Here is a 19,150-nt window from a genome sequence, read left to right on the forward strand (position 1 = left end):
GGCTCTTTTTGGCTTCCAAATGAATTTTACAATAGCTTTTTCTAATTCTGTGAAAAATATCATTGGCAGTTTGATAGGAATAGCACTGAATATGTAAATTGCTTTGGGCAACATCGCCTGTTTTTTTTTTTTTTTTTTGAGGCAGAGTCTCACTCTATCACCCAGGCTGCAGTGCAGTGGCACAGTCTTGGCTCACTAAAACCTTCGCCTCCTGGGTTCAAGTGATTCTCATGTTTCAGCCACCTGAGTAGTTGGGATTACAGGCACATGCCACGAGGTCAGGCAAATTTTTGTATTTTTAGTAGAGATGGGGTTTTGTGTGCTGCCCAGGCTGGTCTGGAGCTCCTGGTCATAAGTGATCCTCCCTCCTCAGCCTCCTGGGTACTGGGATTACAGGCATGAGCCACCATGCCTGGCTTAATATTGCCATTTTAACAATATTAGTTCTTCCTATCCATTAGCATAGAATGTTTATTTGTTGGTGTCATCTCTGATTTCTTTCAGCAGCATTTTGTAACTCTCAAGTTACTGTTTCACCTCCCAGGTTAGCTCTATTAATAGGTACTTTAGGTTTTTGTGTGTGTGTATGTGGCTATTGTGAATGTGATTGTGTCCTTGATTTGGCTTGGACATTGTTGGTGTATAGAAATGCTACCAATTTGTGTACATTGATTTTGTATTTTGAAACTTTGCTGAAGTTTTTTATCAGATCTAGGTGCTTTTGGGCAGAGACTACGTGGTTTTCTAGGTATTAAATCATATCATCTGCAAACAGAGATGGTTTGTCTTCCTCTTCATATTTGGATGCCTTTTATTTCTTTCTCTTGACCGATTTTTTCTGGCTAGGACATCTAGTATTATGTTGAATGGGAGTGGTGACAGTGGGCATTCATGTCTTATTCTGGTTCTCAAGGAGACTGATTTCAGCTTTTGTCCATTCAGTATGACATAAGTTGTGGGTTTGTCACAGATTTCTCTTAATTTTTTGAGTCATATTCCTTCAATGCCTAGTTTGTTGACAGCTTTTAACAAGAAGGGATGTTGAATTTTATTGACAGCCTTTCTTGAATCTATTGAGGTGATCATGTGGTTTTTGTTTTTAGTTTTATGTGGTGAATCACATTTATTGATTTACATATATTGAACCGAACTTGCACCTGTGGGATAATGACTTTATCATGGTGGATTAACTTTTTGATTTGCTGCTGGATTTAGTTTGCTAGTATTTTATTGACAATTATTGTATCTATGTTCATCAAGGATACTGGCCTGAAGTTTTCTTTCTTAGCTGTGTTTCTGCCAGGTTTTGGTATCAGAATGATACTGGTCTCATAGAAGGAGTTAGGGAGGAGGTCCTCCTTAGTTTTTTGAAAGTTTCAATAGGAATGGTACCAGCTCTTCTTTATAGGTCTGGTAGAATTAGGCTGTTAATCTGGCTGGTCTAGGGCTTTTTCTGGATGGTAGGCTTTTTATTACCTATTAAATTTCAGAACTCATTATTGGTCTGTTCAGGGTTTCAATTTCTTCCTCACTTAATCTTGGCATGTTGTATGTTTCCAGGAATTTATCCAGTTGTTGTAGGTTTTTTAGTTTGTGTGCACAGAGGTGATTATAATAGTCTCTGAGGGCTTTTTGTATTTCTGTTGGATTGCTCGTAATGTCCTCTTTGTCAAGTCTGTGTTTATTTGGATCTTCTTTCTTTCTTTTTTGTCTAACTAGCAATCTATTAATCTTATTTATTCTTTCAAAAAGACAAATTTTGGTTTCATTGATCTTTTGTATGGTTTCCACATCTCAATTTTATTTAGTTTCTCCATTCATTTACTTTCAGCTTATGAATGTCATTGCATGCGAGATGGCTCACTTGAAGACAACATACAGTTGGGTCTTGTTACTTAATTCATCTTGCCACTCTGTGCCTTTTAACTGGGGACATTTAACCCATTTACATTTGAGTTTAATATTCATATGTATGAATTTGATCCTATCATTTTTTTTTAGCTGGATATTATGCAGATTTGATTGGGTAGTTGCTCTATAGTGTCAAAGGTCTATGCACTTAAGTGTGTTTTGTGATTGTTGGTAACAGTCTTTTGTTTCTATGTTTAACATTCCCTTAAAGACCTCTTGTAAAGCAGATCTGGTGGTAATATATTTCCATAGCAGTTTCCTATCTAAAAAGGATTTTATTTCTCATTCGCTGATGAAGCATAGTATAGCTGGATATGTAATTCCTGTTTGGAGTTTCTTTAAAAATGCTGAATATAGGCCCCTAATCTTTTCTGACTTGTAGGATTTCTGGTGAAAGGTCCACTGTTAGCCTGATGGGGTTCACTTTGTAAATGACCTGCCCATTCTCTATAACTGCTTTTAATATTTTTTTCTTTCATGTCAACCTTAGAGAATCTGATGACTATGTATCTTGATTATGGTCACCTTATGTAGTATCTCACAGGTGTTCTCTGCATTTCCTGAATTTAAATGTTGGCCTGCCTAGCAAGATTGAGGAAATTTTCATGAATGCCATCCTCAAATATGTTTTCCACATTGCTTGCTTTCTCTCTCTCTCTCTTTCAGGGATGCCAAAGAGTCATACATTTGGTCTCTTGACCCAATCTCATATTTCTCATAGATTTTGTTCTTTCTTTTTTACCATTTTTGTCCGAGTTAATTTGGAGAATCAGTCTTCAAGCTTGCAGAATCTTTTCTCAGTTTGGTCTGTCCTGTTGTTCATACTTGCAACTGTATTATGAAATTCTTGTAGTGGCTTTTGCAGCTCTATCAGATCATTTTTTTTTTCTTAAAATGGCCATTTTCTCCTTTAGCTCCTGTATTGTTTTACTTTATTTCTTAGATTGTTTGGATTGGGTTTCCACTTCTTCTGAATCTTTATAATTTTTGTTCCTATCCATATTCTGAATTTTAAGACTATCATTTCAGCCATTTCAGCTTGGTTAAGAAGCATTGCTGGGGAGCTAGTGCAGTTATTTGGAGACAAGAAGACATTGGTTTTTTCAGTTGTCAGAGTTCTTGAGCTTCTTCTTTCTCATCCGTATGGGTTGATGTTCCTTTAAACTTTGAAGTTGTGGTTGTTTGGATCAGACTTTTTGCTTTTATCTTCTCTCATGCATTTGAGGGTTTTATTGTGGTATAAAGTGGGATCAGTCAACTGGCTTCATTTCTTGAAGACTTCGGGGGGCCAAAGTTCAGCTTAGCACTCCTGCTTTCATGCTCTAACCCTAGGGTGCTTGTATTGGGCCTCTGGTTTCATACTCTGGCCCCTTGAGGTTAGAAACTGCTGCACTAGAGAGGCAAAGGTATACCCAGTTCACTGGCCACAAGAATCCAGTGGAAGATACTGGCCAAAGCGCTTCATCAGGGTGGTGGCAGTTGGATCTATGCTCACTCACACGTACCAGCAGCATTGGTAATGCAGCAGGGTACACATGTATCAGCTAGGCTGAGGCACTGGTGGGAGTAGGGCAGTGGCATCCTCGTGTGTATTTGCACCAGCCCAGATGTCTCTTAACTTAGCTGTACCAGAAAATGAGTTCATAACAATTGAGGAGGCTGGGAAGTCCAAGATCAATGTGCCAGCAGATTTGCTGTCTGCTGAGGGCTCATTGTCAGCTTCAGAGGGGTACATTGTTGCTGCATCCTCACATGGTGGAAGAAGTGAAAGGGTGAACATCTTTTTATTTGAAAGTGTTAATAAAATAGTGTATAATAATTGTCCCAAAATAAAAATTTTCCATTCATATGTTGTTTTAAAATGTAAGGAAATAGCCATTTTAAACATTCTCAATATTGCTGTGATCATTCACACCACCTTTTTTTTGTTTTGTTTTAATTTAAAGGAAAAAGTTTCTATTGTCAGGATGGTAATTTAGATGTCTAAAACTTTAGAAGTTACATTTCTTCTTTCATGATTTGCATAAGCTAAATGAATTAATGTGGGTATGAAATAAGTACATGTTATTATCAAAAGCCAATTTGCAAAACAAACTAGAGTATGTGTAGGTAAACATATATAAATACATATATACATGCATATACACATATACACATGTATCTATAGCTCCATTACATCTGTAACTATAGTTTTTCACTTTAACAAAAGTGTAAATAAATATAGTGCCTTATCAGTAAGTTCTTTTTGACATGGTTGTTAATGTTTCCTTCAACAGCTAAAATGACCCTTGGTAAGTAGGAAACTAAATAGAAAACTGAGGGAAAACACATCCAAATGAATAGCAGGCTTAATAATTAATCTATTTCAGCAGCATTTTGAGTTGAATAGATCTAAAGATTTATTATGAGTTGGTGCAAGGAATACAAAATCTAGGAAAACATATGCCAAACAGTTATATATGGAGAAGTACATTGAGCTTGGGGTATGGTAACCTGTCACTATCAATATTTGCTTTATATCCATTGGAATTTTAAGGAAAATTTGCAAGGAGCATGTCTTTGTGGATGATTTGTTATTTAAAAATATCTTAAAATGTGAAAAGAATAAAAATCTTATATCTTTTCAGTACCTCATTCTATTCTAGCATTCTGGAATTCTGGGCAATATCAAAAAATTTTTTCAGATACAGCATTTATTCTTTACAAAGTGTCTTTGGAGTATTTCTTTAAAGAGATTTTGTTGTAAGATTATAATTTGTTAAAACACAGATTGCCTAATAATTTTGCAAAGTATTTTCACATGTCAATGGGTATACATGAGTTTCTTTTTGCTGAAAAAAAGTGCTCATTCAATTATTTATTTTCATTGCTATTGCATACCTTCTTCTATTAGTCCCAATGTCACTAAGCTAATAGAATGTGAAAATCTGCCTGAAACAAATACACACGTATTTTTATTTTACATATAACATTTTCTGAAATGGAGAACAAATACTAAAAAAAGAGAGAATCTAAGTGTATAATAATGTTGACTCCAGTCTTTAATTTCCATTAAACCTGTCCCCATTTCTTTTTGACTCTGGGCATATTTCCTGTTTTAGCTAGTACAGCAATAGTAAATAATGTTTTAACATTGTGAATGCACTTTTTAATTCAATGAATAAAGGGAAAATGTTATTTTTCATTCTCATTCCAATGTGCATTGTAAGAATTATTCAAGGGAAAGAAACCCACAGTAGAAATGATATTCCATAAAAGTTATAATTTAATATTTTCCTGGCTTTACTAATTTACTTTTTCCTCTGCTTTCTGTGATATTTTCTGCTGATAAAAGTTCCATATTTCAAATGGGGTCTTAAAATCTATTAGATTTTTACAGAGCTAAACCAATTTCTTAAGGACATAAAATACATTCAAAATGCCCTGATTATGGATAAACCTGTAGGAAGTAAAATTTTAAATGAAATATTTCATCAAAATATGAATGATGATAAAATAATAACTGACAAGAAGAAGACTATTTGTTTTACCATCTTGTATTATTTTTCAGATAATATATATTCTTAACAAGTAGCTAGTAGCTTTTCTTTTAACAAGAACATCGCTGGTAATTTGCTAACAAAGATACAGTGTCAATGTTTATTAAGAAAAGTTAATGATTTTGAGTATACATAAATTAGAACTAAATTGCAGTTTTAGAATATTGAGTGGAAAAACTTACCAAGTATAAAATGACAAGAAACAGAGAATTGTGAAGCAATAGAATACTCATTTTAAAAAGTATAATACAGCCAGGAACACTTTCTCACTTTTGTAATCCCAAAACTTTGGGAGTCCAAGGTGGGTGGATCATCTGAGGACAGGATTTGAGATTAGCCTGGGCAATATAGCAAGATCCCATCTCTGAAAAAAAAATGCGGGTGTGGTGTCACATGATTATAGTCTTAGCTACTTGGAAGGCTGACACAGTAGGATCACGAGCCCAGGTGTTTGAGGCTTCAGTTAGCACTACACTCCAGCCTCAGCAACAAAGCAAGACCCTGTCTCAGAAATAAATAAATAAAAACTATAAGTTATTTGACAAAGAAATAAAATAAACAAAAATGGTGATGTCATATAATGACAAAAAATGACAATACATTACGGAACTTGAACTGATTTATGTTTTCTAGCAAGAAGTTGTGAAATAAGTTTTTTGATAAGTAAGATAAATGTACAAATTTCTCAGATGCAAGTGATGTAATTCTAGAATAGCCAATAGGCTAGAAAATCTTATATGACTAAGCAGTTTAACCCAATGTTTACACCATTCTTAAGCTTATAAAAAATATCTTTAAGTGGCAAGGACCACATTCCAGTTTACTTTGAAAATGGTATTTACTAAAGATCCTTATAAAATTCTGCAAATTATGAAAAGTTACTTAGAAAAAGTAAATAATTAATTAGTTCAATCTACAGAAAATGATATACATCTGATTCACTTTATAGTGGTATTTACCTTGTTGCAATGGGCTGGACCCTATCCCACATCTCTAAGGTTTGTTACTACAATTTAGTTTATAAAAGAATTTTCAAAATATAGTCTTTATTGTCACTTGTCATCTGGAGGTTACCATATTCTAGATCATGAAAAATACTGAATGGCAACCTTCTCAATTTAAGCTGTATTAAGTAATGGGACAAATCTTGTTCTGGGTATACGTAAGCCTGAATTTAGAATTCTGCTCTGGTAAAAATAGTTAATCCTTGGGCTAAGGGCTAATTTTAACATGTTGTAGAAAGTTTAAATATCCAGAACATGCAAATGTTAACCTGATTAATAAATAATGCCAATATAGTTGTTTTGTCAGTAATACTGGTAAAAATCAAAAGGGTAAGAAAACTGTAAGAAAATAAAGAAATAATCTGTGCAAATATATTTGAAGATTAAAATTAGTTATGCAAATGCAAGTTCTTATGGTTAATCTTATAATTATTCAGTGATCATCAGCATCTAGTTTTTAAAATTAGAAACAAATTGTAGCCGTTGTTGCTTTTAATCAAGAGACAAGGAAAACCCATTTGATCGTTTGTCCAAACAATTTGGTGCTCCATAGCCCTGACATTTGCCTTGTTTTCAAAAGTTCTTTAAAAATTAGTAGCGTTTCCTGAAATTTCAGGGACGTTTATCTGAATATATTCCTGCGAAAAATATAGCTCAATTTTATATCTCTGAACATCATCTAGTTACACTAGTGTTACAAAGCTGCCTTAAAAGCATTCTTCTTAAGACATTATATTTTTTAAATTAAAGAAAAGTGATCTTTGAATGCATTGAAGTATTATTTGCTTATTTTGCAAGTTTCCTTGAATTACTGTGGTATGTTGGTGCATTTCAGGATAATAGACTCCATTAGACAGCTCAAATAAATAGGGACTAATTTAAAGACTACAAAAATATATTTTATTGTTGTAGAATACTTTTTTCTCCATGTCATTAGGAGATGAGTCCAAAGGTAATGATGTTTATGGTACATAAGAGTCACCATTGAGGTGACATAGTTCTCGTCAGGGCACTGAGAGATACACTAGATACTGTTTTTGGAAGAGTTCTAAATCCTGTATTTTTTTAGATATTCTCATTCCTAAATGCACTAGTATGAGGAACTTGATTTCGAGTATTTCAAGTCATATTTGTTGTAAAAGTATTCATTTGATATATTTTTATGCTTAGAAGTACGTAGTAAAAACAAACCATCGAGCCAATATTGCTATTAAATAGAGATCAATTATAAGTCTCATAGAAAAACTGAACTTTAACAAAAAGCTTTGGGGAAATAAAGAACATTATTTGTACTTGGAAAAGTGGACGATCATCTAAATGTTACTATGGTATATTTTATAACCATGTTACAATTGCCTTTCATTTTTACTTGCAGTGATACAAAATCGCAAGCTGGTATAAAATATTCATAAATAAAAGAGTAGAGATAAAAATGTGTGTGCTATATAGAAAACTCTGAATTTTTCGTTTACATTATTCATTAACTACAGATGTAGCAATATAATGGAATTTGGGATTTGCCATTGAAGTTATGTGCCCCATATTTCTATGTGACTACATAAACTACTTAAGCAGTATACAAGTACTTTAAAAAAATTGAAAATGTACTGAATGTTCACGTTGGATGAACCCTACAATTTGTCCAAAAGCCTAAGAAATTCATTCACTAGAAAACAATCATAAAAAGAAAAGTCTTTGACATTTTACAAAAATCACATAATTCCTATTGCTTTTCAGTTCATTTTCCTGAGTGAAGTTAACCATACAATAGATAAAATGATTATTTCATTTTTAATTTTATAAATTTGGAGATAATTTTATGGAAGAATCTTGGGTTTTTACACAAGGCTATCTGCTTTTCTAAGAGAGAAGAATTTGTCAATTAACATATCTCATGCAACCATATTGCTCAATTCTATATAAATCAATTTAGGTAGAACTTACATGCTACCATCAGGGAGAAAAGAAAAAGAAATCATGGTCTCTGTCTTCAAGAAGCTACAATCTTACTGTGGAAATTATACATATATATATATATATGTGTGTGTATATATAAAATCACACATAGCTCTGTGCTGCCTTCAGTACGATAAATAATTTTTAAATAAATAATATTTATTAGTAATTTCAAGTTAGAATTATAAAAAACAATAAAACTGGCCATGATTCCACCAAAAGGCAATAACTATATTAAAAAATAATATATGCACATAATACAAAAATTCCAAGGTAAGAAAAATTATAAATTATTAGCAAAATCTTATCTCTTTTCTAAATTTGTACTATTTCTGCCATAAAATGCAACTGTTATTAAAAGTCATATTTGTAATTCTAGAATTTATATTTATCTGGTAACATATGTATTTACTCATAAAGTGATATATATTATTTAAATCTACACAAAATTAGTTATACTGTATGCATAGTTTTGTATCTATTTTTTCTACTTAACAATATGACTTAAAGGTTGTCCTATTTCAAACATATACTTTCCCATTGTATTAGTTTATCAAAATTTCAGCAGTTTGTGTGTTTTTCAGATTGGCTGTGACAAACGTCTTTTAATGTGTTTCTTGGCTAAATTTCACTAAATATTCTGCTAGGATAAATGTTGCATCAGCTCAGAATTGTTATTATACAAGATTTTAGGAATAGCTCCATTAGGTAATTAAATGTGCCATTAAGTAAATCCTATCATGTTAGTTCTGGCACAAGTTGTCTCCATGCAGTGAATGCACTATTAGTTTAAACACTGTGGGACATCTTACTAGGTATTTTCTATTGGAAACAGACATTATTTCCAAATAATTCAAGGAGAAAAACTGCAGAGAGGATTCTGATTGCCTTATTTAATTTTTCAGCCTATTGTTGAGCTGTTCTTGGTGTTCAAGGTCATGAGATTAGACCTAGGTTCATGCCTGATCTTACCTGGGGTTGGCAGCTGGTGTTGGGCTCTGCTGAGACAGAAGAGAAAAATTCTACTTCCCTCACAAGGAAAAAGATGCTATGAAGAAAATATATATGTCTATCACAGCAGTTATATGTTCATTTTTAATAATACACTTAAAAGTTAAGCCTTTAAATCATGTCCATTAATATCATAAACCCATCTCTTTTTTTAGTTAGAATTTTTCTCATATAGCCATTGAAATTGGGAAATTTCAATGCTATTTCTGTCTTCAAATGTCCATAGAGGAAAAGAATGCTCAACTTCACTCACCAGAAAAGGAAAAGAATGAGAACACCTCCTCAAGACAGGATTCACTTATTGCCTTCTGTGGAAGGTGCCAAGATTTTCTCTATTTTGCATGTGGCAGGCTTACTGGGATCAGCAGTTTAATGTTTTTAAATTTCAATATAGGATGAAGATAATAGAAACCCATTAAGCTTCAAATTAGGTTTTATTCTTATGTCCAACTTTTATTGATTGTGATATTCATCTTTGATCTCTATTTATCTGATGCCTGGTTCTCATTTCTAAATTTTGAATGAACCCTTAAAATCTCAATATTATTTTGTTATTTAGAAACTCCAAGAAATAAGTACAAATATCAGTTTGAGCACTGAAATACTAGATGGAAAATTTGGGGCTTTGTTTAAGTGATACCTTTAGTTTAAGAAGATTTTTACTGAAATAATTCAATTTCTAGAGTTGGCTATACCAATTTCACTGTATCACAGCCTAGGTTGCAGTTGCTGAAGGAATTCCAATATTATCCAGGCATCAGAAAGAGATTTATCTGGCTAAGACTTGCATAATAAGAAGTTAACAATATAATTTTTTTGGATTTTAATGTCTTTAGACTCACTTTTAGTTGTTATTTTTACAATTACGTTTAAGGGAACAATGATCTCATTTATGGACTTTAAATTTAACTGGAATGTGATAATGTGAGGAAATAAATAGTATTTAAATTTAGCATATTTTAATAATGCTGACATTTTACCATTTGGAGTAATTTTTGTACGCATTTGGATTCATCACATAACACCCAGAGCCAGCTCAGAACACATGGCTGGATATATTTGCTGTGAGATTTAGATTAGGGTGTGATTACTTTCGTCTGTAATGCATTGAGGCTTTGGGACAAAAGCTGAGCTTCCCATCAGTAGTACTGGGAGCATTCGCAATAAAATCCTATGACTAGAGATGAGGAGAACCACTTCATGAAGGTGAAAATCTTACTTTTATTATATATTGCTACACAGCCTCACCTCTGGTTGACTATAGGATCAATTGTTAAGCCCAATAGGTTAAGAAAGCAAGAAGATAGAGAAAGTTGGGGGAATGAATCCCTAAACTCATCTCCAGGGAGGAAAAAAAAAAAGAAACATGAGAGGAACATATTTGCCTTGCCCCCTGTATCAAAACCTCTAGTCCTGACTCTTACCCAAAGAGGAGTATTTCCTTAAGAAGGAGCCATCGATTTAACTGGGAAGAGTACAACAGGGAACTGAGCAAGAATATCCAACTCAGCTCTGGCTTTATTTCCTGAGGCTGCTGTTCTGAAATTGCCCAGTTCTCTTCTCATCCATGTAGTAAGATCACTGAGGCAGCTTCATTTCCTCTGCTATTTAAACAGCTGTTGAAACTGCTTTGAATTCAGAGAGGAGGTTATAAGAAGTACAATTGACTGCAAATAAGGATGTGTTTAAAACGTAAAGTTTTAAGACATCCCCAGGGATGTTTTGTTGCTAGCCCTCGAAATACGCTGAATTAAACCAGGCAATTCAGCAACAAAAGATCTTTCTGGCTTGGGACCAATACAAGCAGTCACCAAGGGGTGGGAAACAGTGGTCACAAACAAGCTCCCATTCAGTATACTGTTTGATGGGCTGTTTAGGGCCATATACCTGTCTCTTGGTTCTAAAGAGCTTAGATACAGTTTTTGGGGTTTTGATTTTTTTTTTTAAGTCTTTACATCAACATGAATTTTTCTCCTCCTGTGTTTAATCTAGCAGGTTGGTTAACTTTGACCTTCACCTCTGCAATGTGGTCTCAGCAAATCAAAGCTTTGTCTATTTCAACTTACCATAGGTGTCTTCTAAATCATTGTCCCCACACATATTATGCTTCCCAGGTACCAATACTACCAGTGTCTTATATCCTTGAGTCTACTAGAGTTCATGATTTATTACAATTATCATACATATGATTTAAATATTTTGAATAAAATTTGCAGGCTTAACATTGGAATTTTTATTACCAAGGCATCCTAGCAAATAATAAAGTTTTCATTTACCACTGGAATTTTTTGAAATATTTCTTCATTTCTCTGTTACTATCTATCTCTCTAGCAATATATTTCCCAGAGTATCAGTGCATTTCCTTTAAAATAACAGACTGTACAAATGTAACCCAATATAAATAAGTAAATATTCCAGTGTATCCAGAGTAACTCATTGACTTGAATCAGAAAAAAAAATTCACAAATATAGTGTGCCAATTTTAAATAACTACATGGGCAGGAACACAGCTATTTCTTTCTCTGTAGTATTTGCATTTCTAAACTTATTTTTTCTTGAAAAAGACAGATAAATATTATAACAAAGAAGTCCAACAAAGCAGCAGAAATCACAAGCACATGACCAGTTTTCGGCACTGATATAAATTTCCCTTTGTTCTCTTGCCCAGCCTTTCCAAAATCCTGTTAAAGTCAGTATAGGCTCAAAGCTGATCACTTGTCTCATTCTTACAAATCATTTCCTTGAAAGAGTAAAAATTATCAGACAGCTGCAGTAGTTTAGCTTACAGGGAAACATAGAATGTCATTTTCAAGGTAAGTATGCAGCTGTCTTCCTGTCACTTAAGGCTTTTTAAAACAAATCTAATTAAATGTCTACCAACAACAGTTGACAGAATAGTTCTTAGCATACTAATGAAATTTGTCATAAGGCAACAAAAGCACAATTTTCCTATAGTTTGGTCCTTGCTAGCAAACCTGGCTTATTTCACTTAATCAGTTCCATCCATGTTGCTGAAAATAACAAGATTCCATTCTTTTTTTATGACTAAATAAGATTCCATTGTGTGTAGCACATTTTTAATTCATAGATTAATAACTAGAATATATAAAGAACTCAAACAATTCTATAGCAAAACAACAAATAACCTGATTTAAAACTGGGAAAAAGATCTAGACAGACATTTCTCAAAAGAAGACATACAAATAGCCCACAGGCACATGAAAAAATGCTCAGCATCACTAATCATCAGGGAAATGCAAATGCTTAGATAGATCAGTGATATCTTATTTAAAACAAATCTGAAGTTCTACGTGACAAAAATTAAGATTTCCAAGAAATCATGTCTCTCTTATCATATCTGGTTTTTGATATTGGCATCACATTTGGGTAAAGAGTTAACTATAAGTATATACATTACTCCAGAATATTTTTAAAAATGTGGTTCAATTACTTAAAAATAGCTTAGCGAGAATGCCAAAAGCATTCCATTTATAGTTTTCTTTAAAACCCATGAAATTTTTTTAAATAATGTATGTATGCATTAAATATACAAGAAAAATAATGGAAAAGAAAAATAATCAAAAATATACTTCATAATAGTCTATGTACGCATTTAAAAATTCTGTCAGAAATACAATTATCAGGGTCCTATTTCTTGTCTTATGCTTAATAGCTTTTTTTTTTTTAACATATTTTGAAGTATAATAAATTAATGGCTGGAGATTTTCACTTGGGCATCTCCTTCTGGTTCTATAAATATGAATGGTTTTCTGCAAAAGTTAACCAAATTCAGTGAAAATCCCAGTTCACCAAAATTAGCCAAAATTAATATGATTTAAATTTATCTTCTGAATATTTCAAAAATTAAGCTCATACAAATGCATACTAGCTATTTTGCTTTTTTTAAGAAGAAAAACTCACAAAATTAAACTGTAATAGAGCTTGAATTCTCACCTGTGTGATAAAAGTTAGGAATCATAAGTCATGGTGGTCACCCAGCAATTGAGGTTTTGATTATATGAATTGCAAATTTTTCTTCTTTTGTATTTCTTTCATTACTTAGTATGCTCCCAGAAAACTCATTATTGCTCAATTAACATTTTTTTGGTTTACGGATTAATTTACAAAAATAAAATGACAAGTGTTCCGGTGTCTATGTCATTTGATCTCAGTAATTAATCCTCAAGGTTTATCAGCACAAAATTATTTTCTATTTTAAAGCCAGTCATACTAATTAGTTTCTAGTATGTAGATAACAATAAGTATGTTTATCAAAATTTAATTTTCTCTTATTGGTCCCAAGTAAGTAAAATATATGACTTTGTATAATTTTCTTTGCAAGCCCTAAATTTAAATTCAAAACCTTAAATCTATGATATGGTGTTATTTCAGCCGAATTACCATTTCTAATGAAATTAATGCATAATCAATATGTAGCTAGTTTCTATTTCCTTTGCATAAATTTAGTTGCTATTTAATACTATTCAATATACTCATGTATGAATGCTTATTTCAAAAATGTGAAAGTATAATTCCTGTTATATGTGGTTTATTTTAGATATTAAAAATATAAAAGGTTAGTTTGGAAACTTTCCTCTGATTCAGCAGTTATGTTTAATTCTTCAATGCTCTTCTTTTTTTATTTTGCAAAAAAGGTCTAGGTCATCTAAATTTGCATCTTACAAATTTGATTTTTACATTTAACAGATCCAGTGATTAATCAATATGTCTATGAGTGGCTAAATTTTATTGCACCATTCTGAAGAATACAAAATTTGTCACTCCTCCGAGAGACACTTAATATTTGACCTGGTTCACATGAGAGAATTCTAAATGGATAAAGAAATCCCTGAGGAAGGCTGCAGAAGGCTGTGGATGTCTTCTCTGGAACATGTAGTTTTATGTAACAACATACCACAGTAATGGACCTTCTTCTATAATTCATAGAAAGCCATTAAATGATTTAATATCCTTTTGGTTTTATCTATAGCGCTGTGAACTACTTCAGTAATCAACGTGCTACCTATTCAGGCATTATCATTCATTCAGTGCGCTTTACCTTATTTCCTCTCACCTCACTTCCATGCCTATTTATCTTCAGAACATGCAGCCCTTTCTGTACCTTCAACCCATTGGTCTTCATTAGTTCATTTCTTTTTCAGCCATGACCAATTGCCACTTTAACTTTCTAAGTCTTCAAAGAGTGCTGTACTTTGACTTTCTGTGTTATGAACTTTGTTTTCCTGCCCCTTCTTTTGATAGCTTAAATATATCATTTCATTCCTTGCTGTCAACTCTAGCTTCTTGATCACTGTTTCTAAAACCCCATGTTCTTTGAGGTATCCAAACACAAACTTTTTCATAACTAAATAATATGTATTTTAATAATTTTTAAAACTAGCATACTGATTCAAAACTTTAAAGTGTTGCTAGAAATGAAAATAAACAGCATATTTTTTTCCCATTTAACTTCTGAGCATATATATTTTCATGCATTTTTGGTTAAAAAACCCCTCCATTTCTGCATAGTTTATTTTTCGTATCTTTGTTTTATTTTAGGTTTTGTGTATTTTTGATAGAAAAGTTTTTATAAGACAGATTTTCCAATCAATTTTGTAATTCTATTCTAAATAGTGTGATGTGGCAGCTGTTCACAAGCAAACGTCTCATATTTTCTAAGCAAATATCAGTTTGTATTGTTTGTCTCTTAAACTTGAAGAGAAAAATCTCATAATAATGACTGTATATTTTTCATTCTAACTTTAAGGAAAATGCAGTTTCTGGAATGTGATTCCATTATCAAAATCTAAGAGACAAAAAAATTACACAACCAAAAAGATTTACTTATATTTAGTATATAAATACATTAATCAATTTAAAAACTACGATGATGATATTTCAGATAAACAAAATTTTTACATGGTAGAATCAACAATCTTTAAAACAGATGCAAATAATTAAATTTATGTTTGAAAATATACACATTTACTTGGGGGTGATGCTTATGGTATTAGAGAAGAAAGAAAGTAGAATATTAACAGGTTTTATGAAAATATTGTAAATTCTAAATTTGTTGTAGTACCAAAGTGGCACTTAATAATTTATTGATCTACTTTCTTCATTTTGTGTAAGTTATAAAGAATATAATTTTAATTGACATTGTGTCAAAACTGACAGAACCTACAAAATTCAAGATGGAGATAAAACTGATTTCACAAAAATTGAAATATTATCTCATGTTTTCTATTCCAGTCATATAGATTTATAGCATAAAACCAGAGACCCTAATAATTACAAAGAATCCTTAAGAAAACCTATCCAAACAATGTAATAAACCCATCTACTTCATCTCAGATAGGTGGACCTCCAGCTGCTTCTTAGTTGACTGGTAAGGCACTCACTAACTCATAGAATAAGCTATTCTGTTATTGTTGGGACGTTTTCCTTATACAGAAATAAAATCTCTCTTTTTGCAATTGCTACTTACTGGTTTTAGTTTATTAATTTGGAGCTGAGTAGTGAGTGTCCAATTTCCCTAAGTTGCCATCCAATTATTTTAAGGCAAGTAAATCCTCAAATCTCTTTTCTAAACTAACTTATAATCCTAAATTATTTTACATAATCATAAAGTACTTCAATCAAATGTTCATTTGATGAATTAAAAGGCCTCTATTTTCCAAATCAGGTTTAATTGTGGTATAATTTGCATACAGTTAAAATTCACTCACTCACAAAATACAATTCAATGGATTTCAATAAATGATTTCAGTCATACAACCACCACACCAATCAAGACAAGGAGCATTTCATCAACACAAAATGTTTCCTCTTGCTGCTTTGCGGTAAAACTCATCCACCCACCCACAGGCAGTAGCTAGCAGTGTCTTTTATTATTATTTTTTATCATTTTATGTGTAACCTATGCATGTTTTGAACATGTGGATTGTTTCTTGTCCTGGGCTATAAAGTTGCTATAAAAATCCACATACCGATCTTCATTTGAACATATATTTTCATTTCCATTGGGTAAATACCCAGAAAAAGAATTGATTGCTCTATTTTATGGTAAATGAAAGTTTAATTTTAACAAAACTGACTAACTCTTTCCAAGTGCTGATGCAATTTGGGGCTCATTATTATATTTTACTCTGTCTGTCTTCTACTTATATTACCATGCCTTAATTACTGCAGCTTTATACATCTTGAACAATCTATTTAAAAATGTATTTTGTCTTTTTTTCAGAATATATTTCAGGATACAGAATTATGGATTGACAGTGTGTGTCTTTGTCCCCTTCTCTGGATTTTTTTTTTTTTTTTTTTTTTTTTTTTGAGACGGAGTCTAGCTCTGTCACCCAGGTTGGAGTGCACTGGCGCCATCTCCGCTCACTGCAAGTTCCGCCTCCTGGGTTCACGCCATTCTCCTGCCTCAGCCTCCCAAGTAGTTGGGACTACAGGCGACTGCCACCACGCCCGACTAATTTTTTGTATTTTTAGCAGAGATGGGATTTCACTGTGTTAGCCAGGATGGTCTTGATCTCCTGACCTCGTGATCCGCCCGCCTCGGCCTCCCAAAGTGTTGGGATTACAGGCGTGAGCCACCACGCCCGGCCTCTGGATATTTTTAAGTTTTCCTTTTTTATGTTTTGGATACAGTGTCTGGCCCTGTTGCCCAGGCAGAAGTGCAGTGGTGCCATCTTGGCTTACTGCAACCTCTGCCTCCCGGGCTCAAGTGATCTTCCTACCTCAGCCTCCCGAGTAGCTGGGACTACAGGCAAGCACTACCATGCTCAGCTAATTTTTGCATTCTTCGTAGATTAGGGGATTTTCCATGTTTCCCAGGCTGGTCTCAAACTCCTGGGCTCAATCGATCCACCCACCTTAGCCTCCCAAAGTGCTGGGATTACAGGAGTGAGGCACTGCCCTCAACCAAATTATTCTTCATTAATTTTTTAATGATTTTTCCATGTATAGTTTTCCTTTATTTACCTTCTTGAGGATTTTGAGATTCTTCATTCAGTAAGTTAATTTTTACACTATTTGGCATTTTTAGGGATCATTGCTGTTTTAAATAATTATTCTACTTCTTCTAGATCTCCTCTTCTTTTGTTATTCCAGTGTTATGTATGTTAGGCTGCTTAATGTTTGTCCAAAAGTTCCTGATGTATTTTTGATTTTTTTCAGTCCTTTTTTTTAATCTTTAGTCTTTTTTGTTTGTTTTTTAGAATGGGTAATTTCTGTTTATCTGTCTTCAATTTCTCTGATCCTTTCTTCTTCCATATCTAATCTACTGCTATATTAATGTAATTCCAGTTTATTTATAATTTCATATATTTCCTACTGCAATCAGAAATTCCGACTTTAAAAAAGATTCTGAGTTTCTTCAACTGTTCACTCATTGCAGCCATCTTTAATTTTATGTCATTGCACATATTTCAAATTGCCCTTTAAAAATTTTTTTTTTTCCTGCTAATTCCAAATGCTGAATCATCTTGAGGTCCATTTTTCGTGATTGATTTTGGTTTTTATTTGGGTCACATTTTTCTGTGCCTTCATATTTTTTGTAATTACTAACTTACAAACTTAGCAATAATCCTCTACATTTGATTGCATACTAAGAATTTTCAGTGATGCCATGTACAGAATCTGGCATCTATTCTCTCCTCCAAACACTTTTGACATTTGCTATTATGTACTTGGTTATCTTAAAAACACTGTGAAACTAGTAGAATGTTGGCTTAACTGTAGATAGTCTTATTTTTTCCAATCTTAGGGATAATTCTTATTCCTGGCATGTGGTATTTACTCAGAGAGCATTATCCAGCTGGGGGTTCAATGTAAAGCTCAGATTGTCTACTGACACCCTCTAAGTAGTAGAATTTAAACACTAAATTCCATGTTCTATGTTGTGCACAGCAACTAAAATCTATGCTCAGGTTTTAGTCTTCTGTAGTTTTCAACTGGATTTCTCTGTCCCATAAATGTAAAGATCATGAATCAGCCACGAATTTGAGAAGGATATATACATATTGTGTATTTGTGTATATACATATACATAACCTTACTTCTCTGTGATTTCCTTCCATCTGCATTTTCCTCCCCTGCTTTACAGTTATTCTGACAGCCTGGATCTTCAACTTCTGATTGAGTTCTAAGGGTATTCTTCCATGTGACCTATAGAGGGCTCTCAGAGAAGGAGACATGTAAACATATATCTTCAAGGGTTCCTTTCTTTCAAGAATCAAAACGTGCCAGTCTCTGCCTACTTTGATCATTCTTTCAAAAATTGAATAGTTTTCTTATCCTTCACCCACTTTTTGATGGGGTTGTTTGTTTTTTTCTTGTAAATTTGTTTGAGTTCATTGTAGATTCTGGATATTAGCCCTTTGTCAGATGAGTAGGTTGCGAAAATTTTCTCCTATTTTGTAGGTTGCCTGTTCACTCTGATGGCAGTTTCTTTTGCTGTGCAGAAGCTCTTTAGTTTAATTAGATCCCATTTGTCAATTTTGGCTTTTGTTGCCATTGCTTTTGGTGTTTTAGACATGAAGTCCTTGCCCATGCCTATGTCCTGAATGGTATTGCCTAGGTTTTCTTCTAGGGTTTTTATGGTTTTAGGTCTAACATTTAAGTCTTTAATGCATCTTGAATTAATTTTTGTATAAGGTGTAAGGAAGGGATCCAGTTTCGCTTTCTACATATGGCTAGCCAGTTTTCCCAGCACCATTTATT

The 19,150-nt window shown here is 33.0% G+C and overlaps 1 long non-coding RNA gene across 1 annotated transcript in view; it reads left to right on the top strand.

Moving 5' to 3' along the window:
• LOC101928283 (uncharacterized) overlaps positions 1–14,392 on the top strand; it is a 194,753-nt gene extending 180,361 nt beyond the window's left edge. Inside the window, exon 9 of the long non-coding RNA NR_110188.1 lies at positions 14,129–14,392. This is a non-coding gene — a long non-coding RNA (uncharacterized LOC101928283). The remainder of the gene's footprint in view (positions 1–14,128) is intronic.
• The last annotated feature ends 4,758 nt before the right edge of the window (positions 14,393–19,150 follow it).

This window comes from Homo sapiens, chromosome 7, assembly GCF_000001405.40.
Source record: "Homo sapiens chromosome 7, GRCh38.p14 Primary Assembly".
NCBI classification, from domain to species: domain Eukaryota; kingdom Metazoa; phylum Chordata; class Mammalia; order Primates; family Hominidae; genus Homo; species Homo sapiens.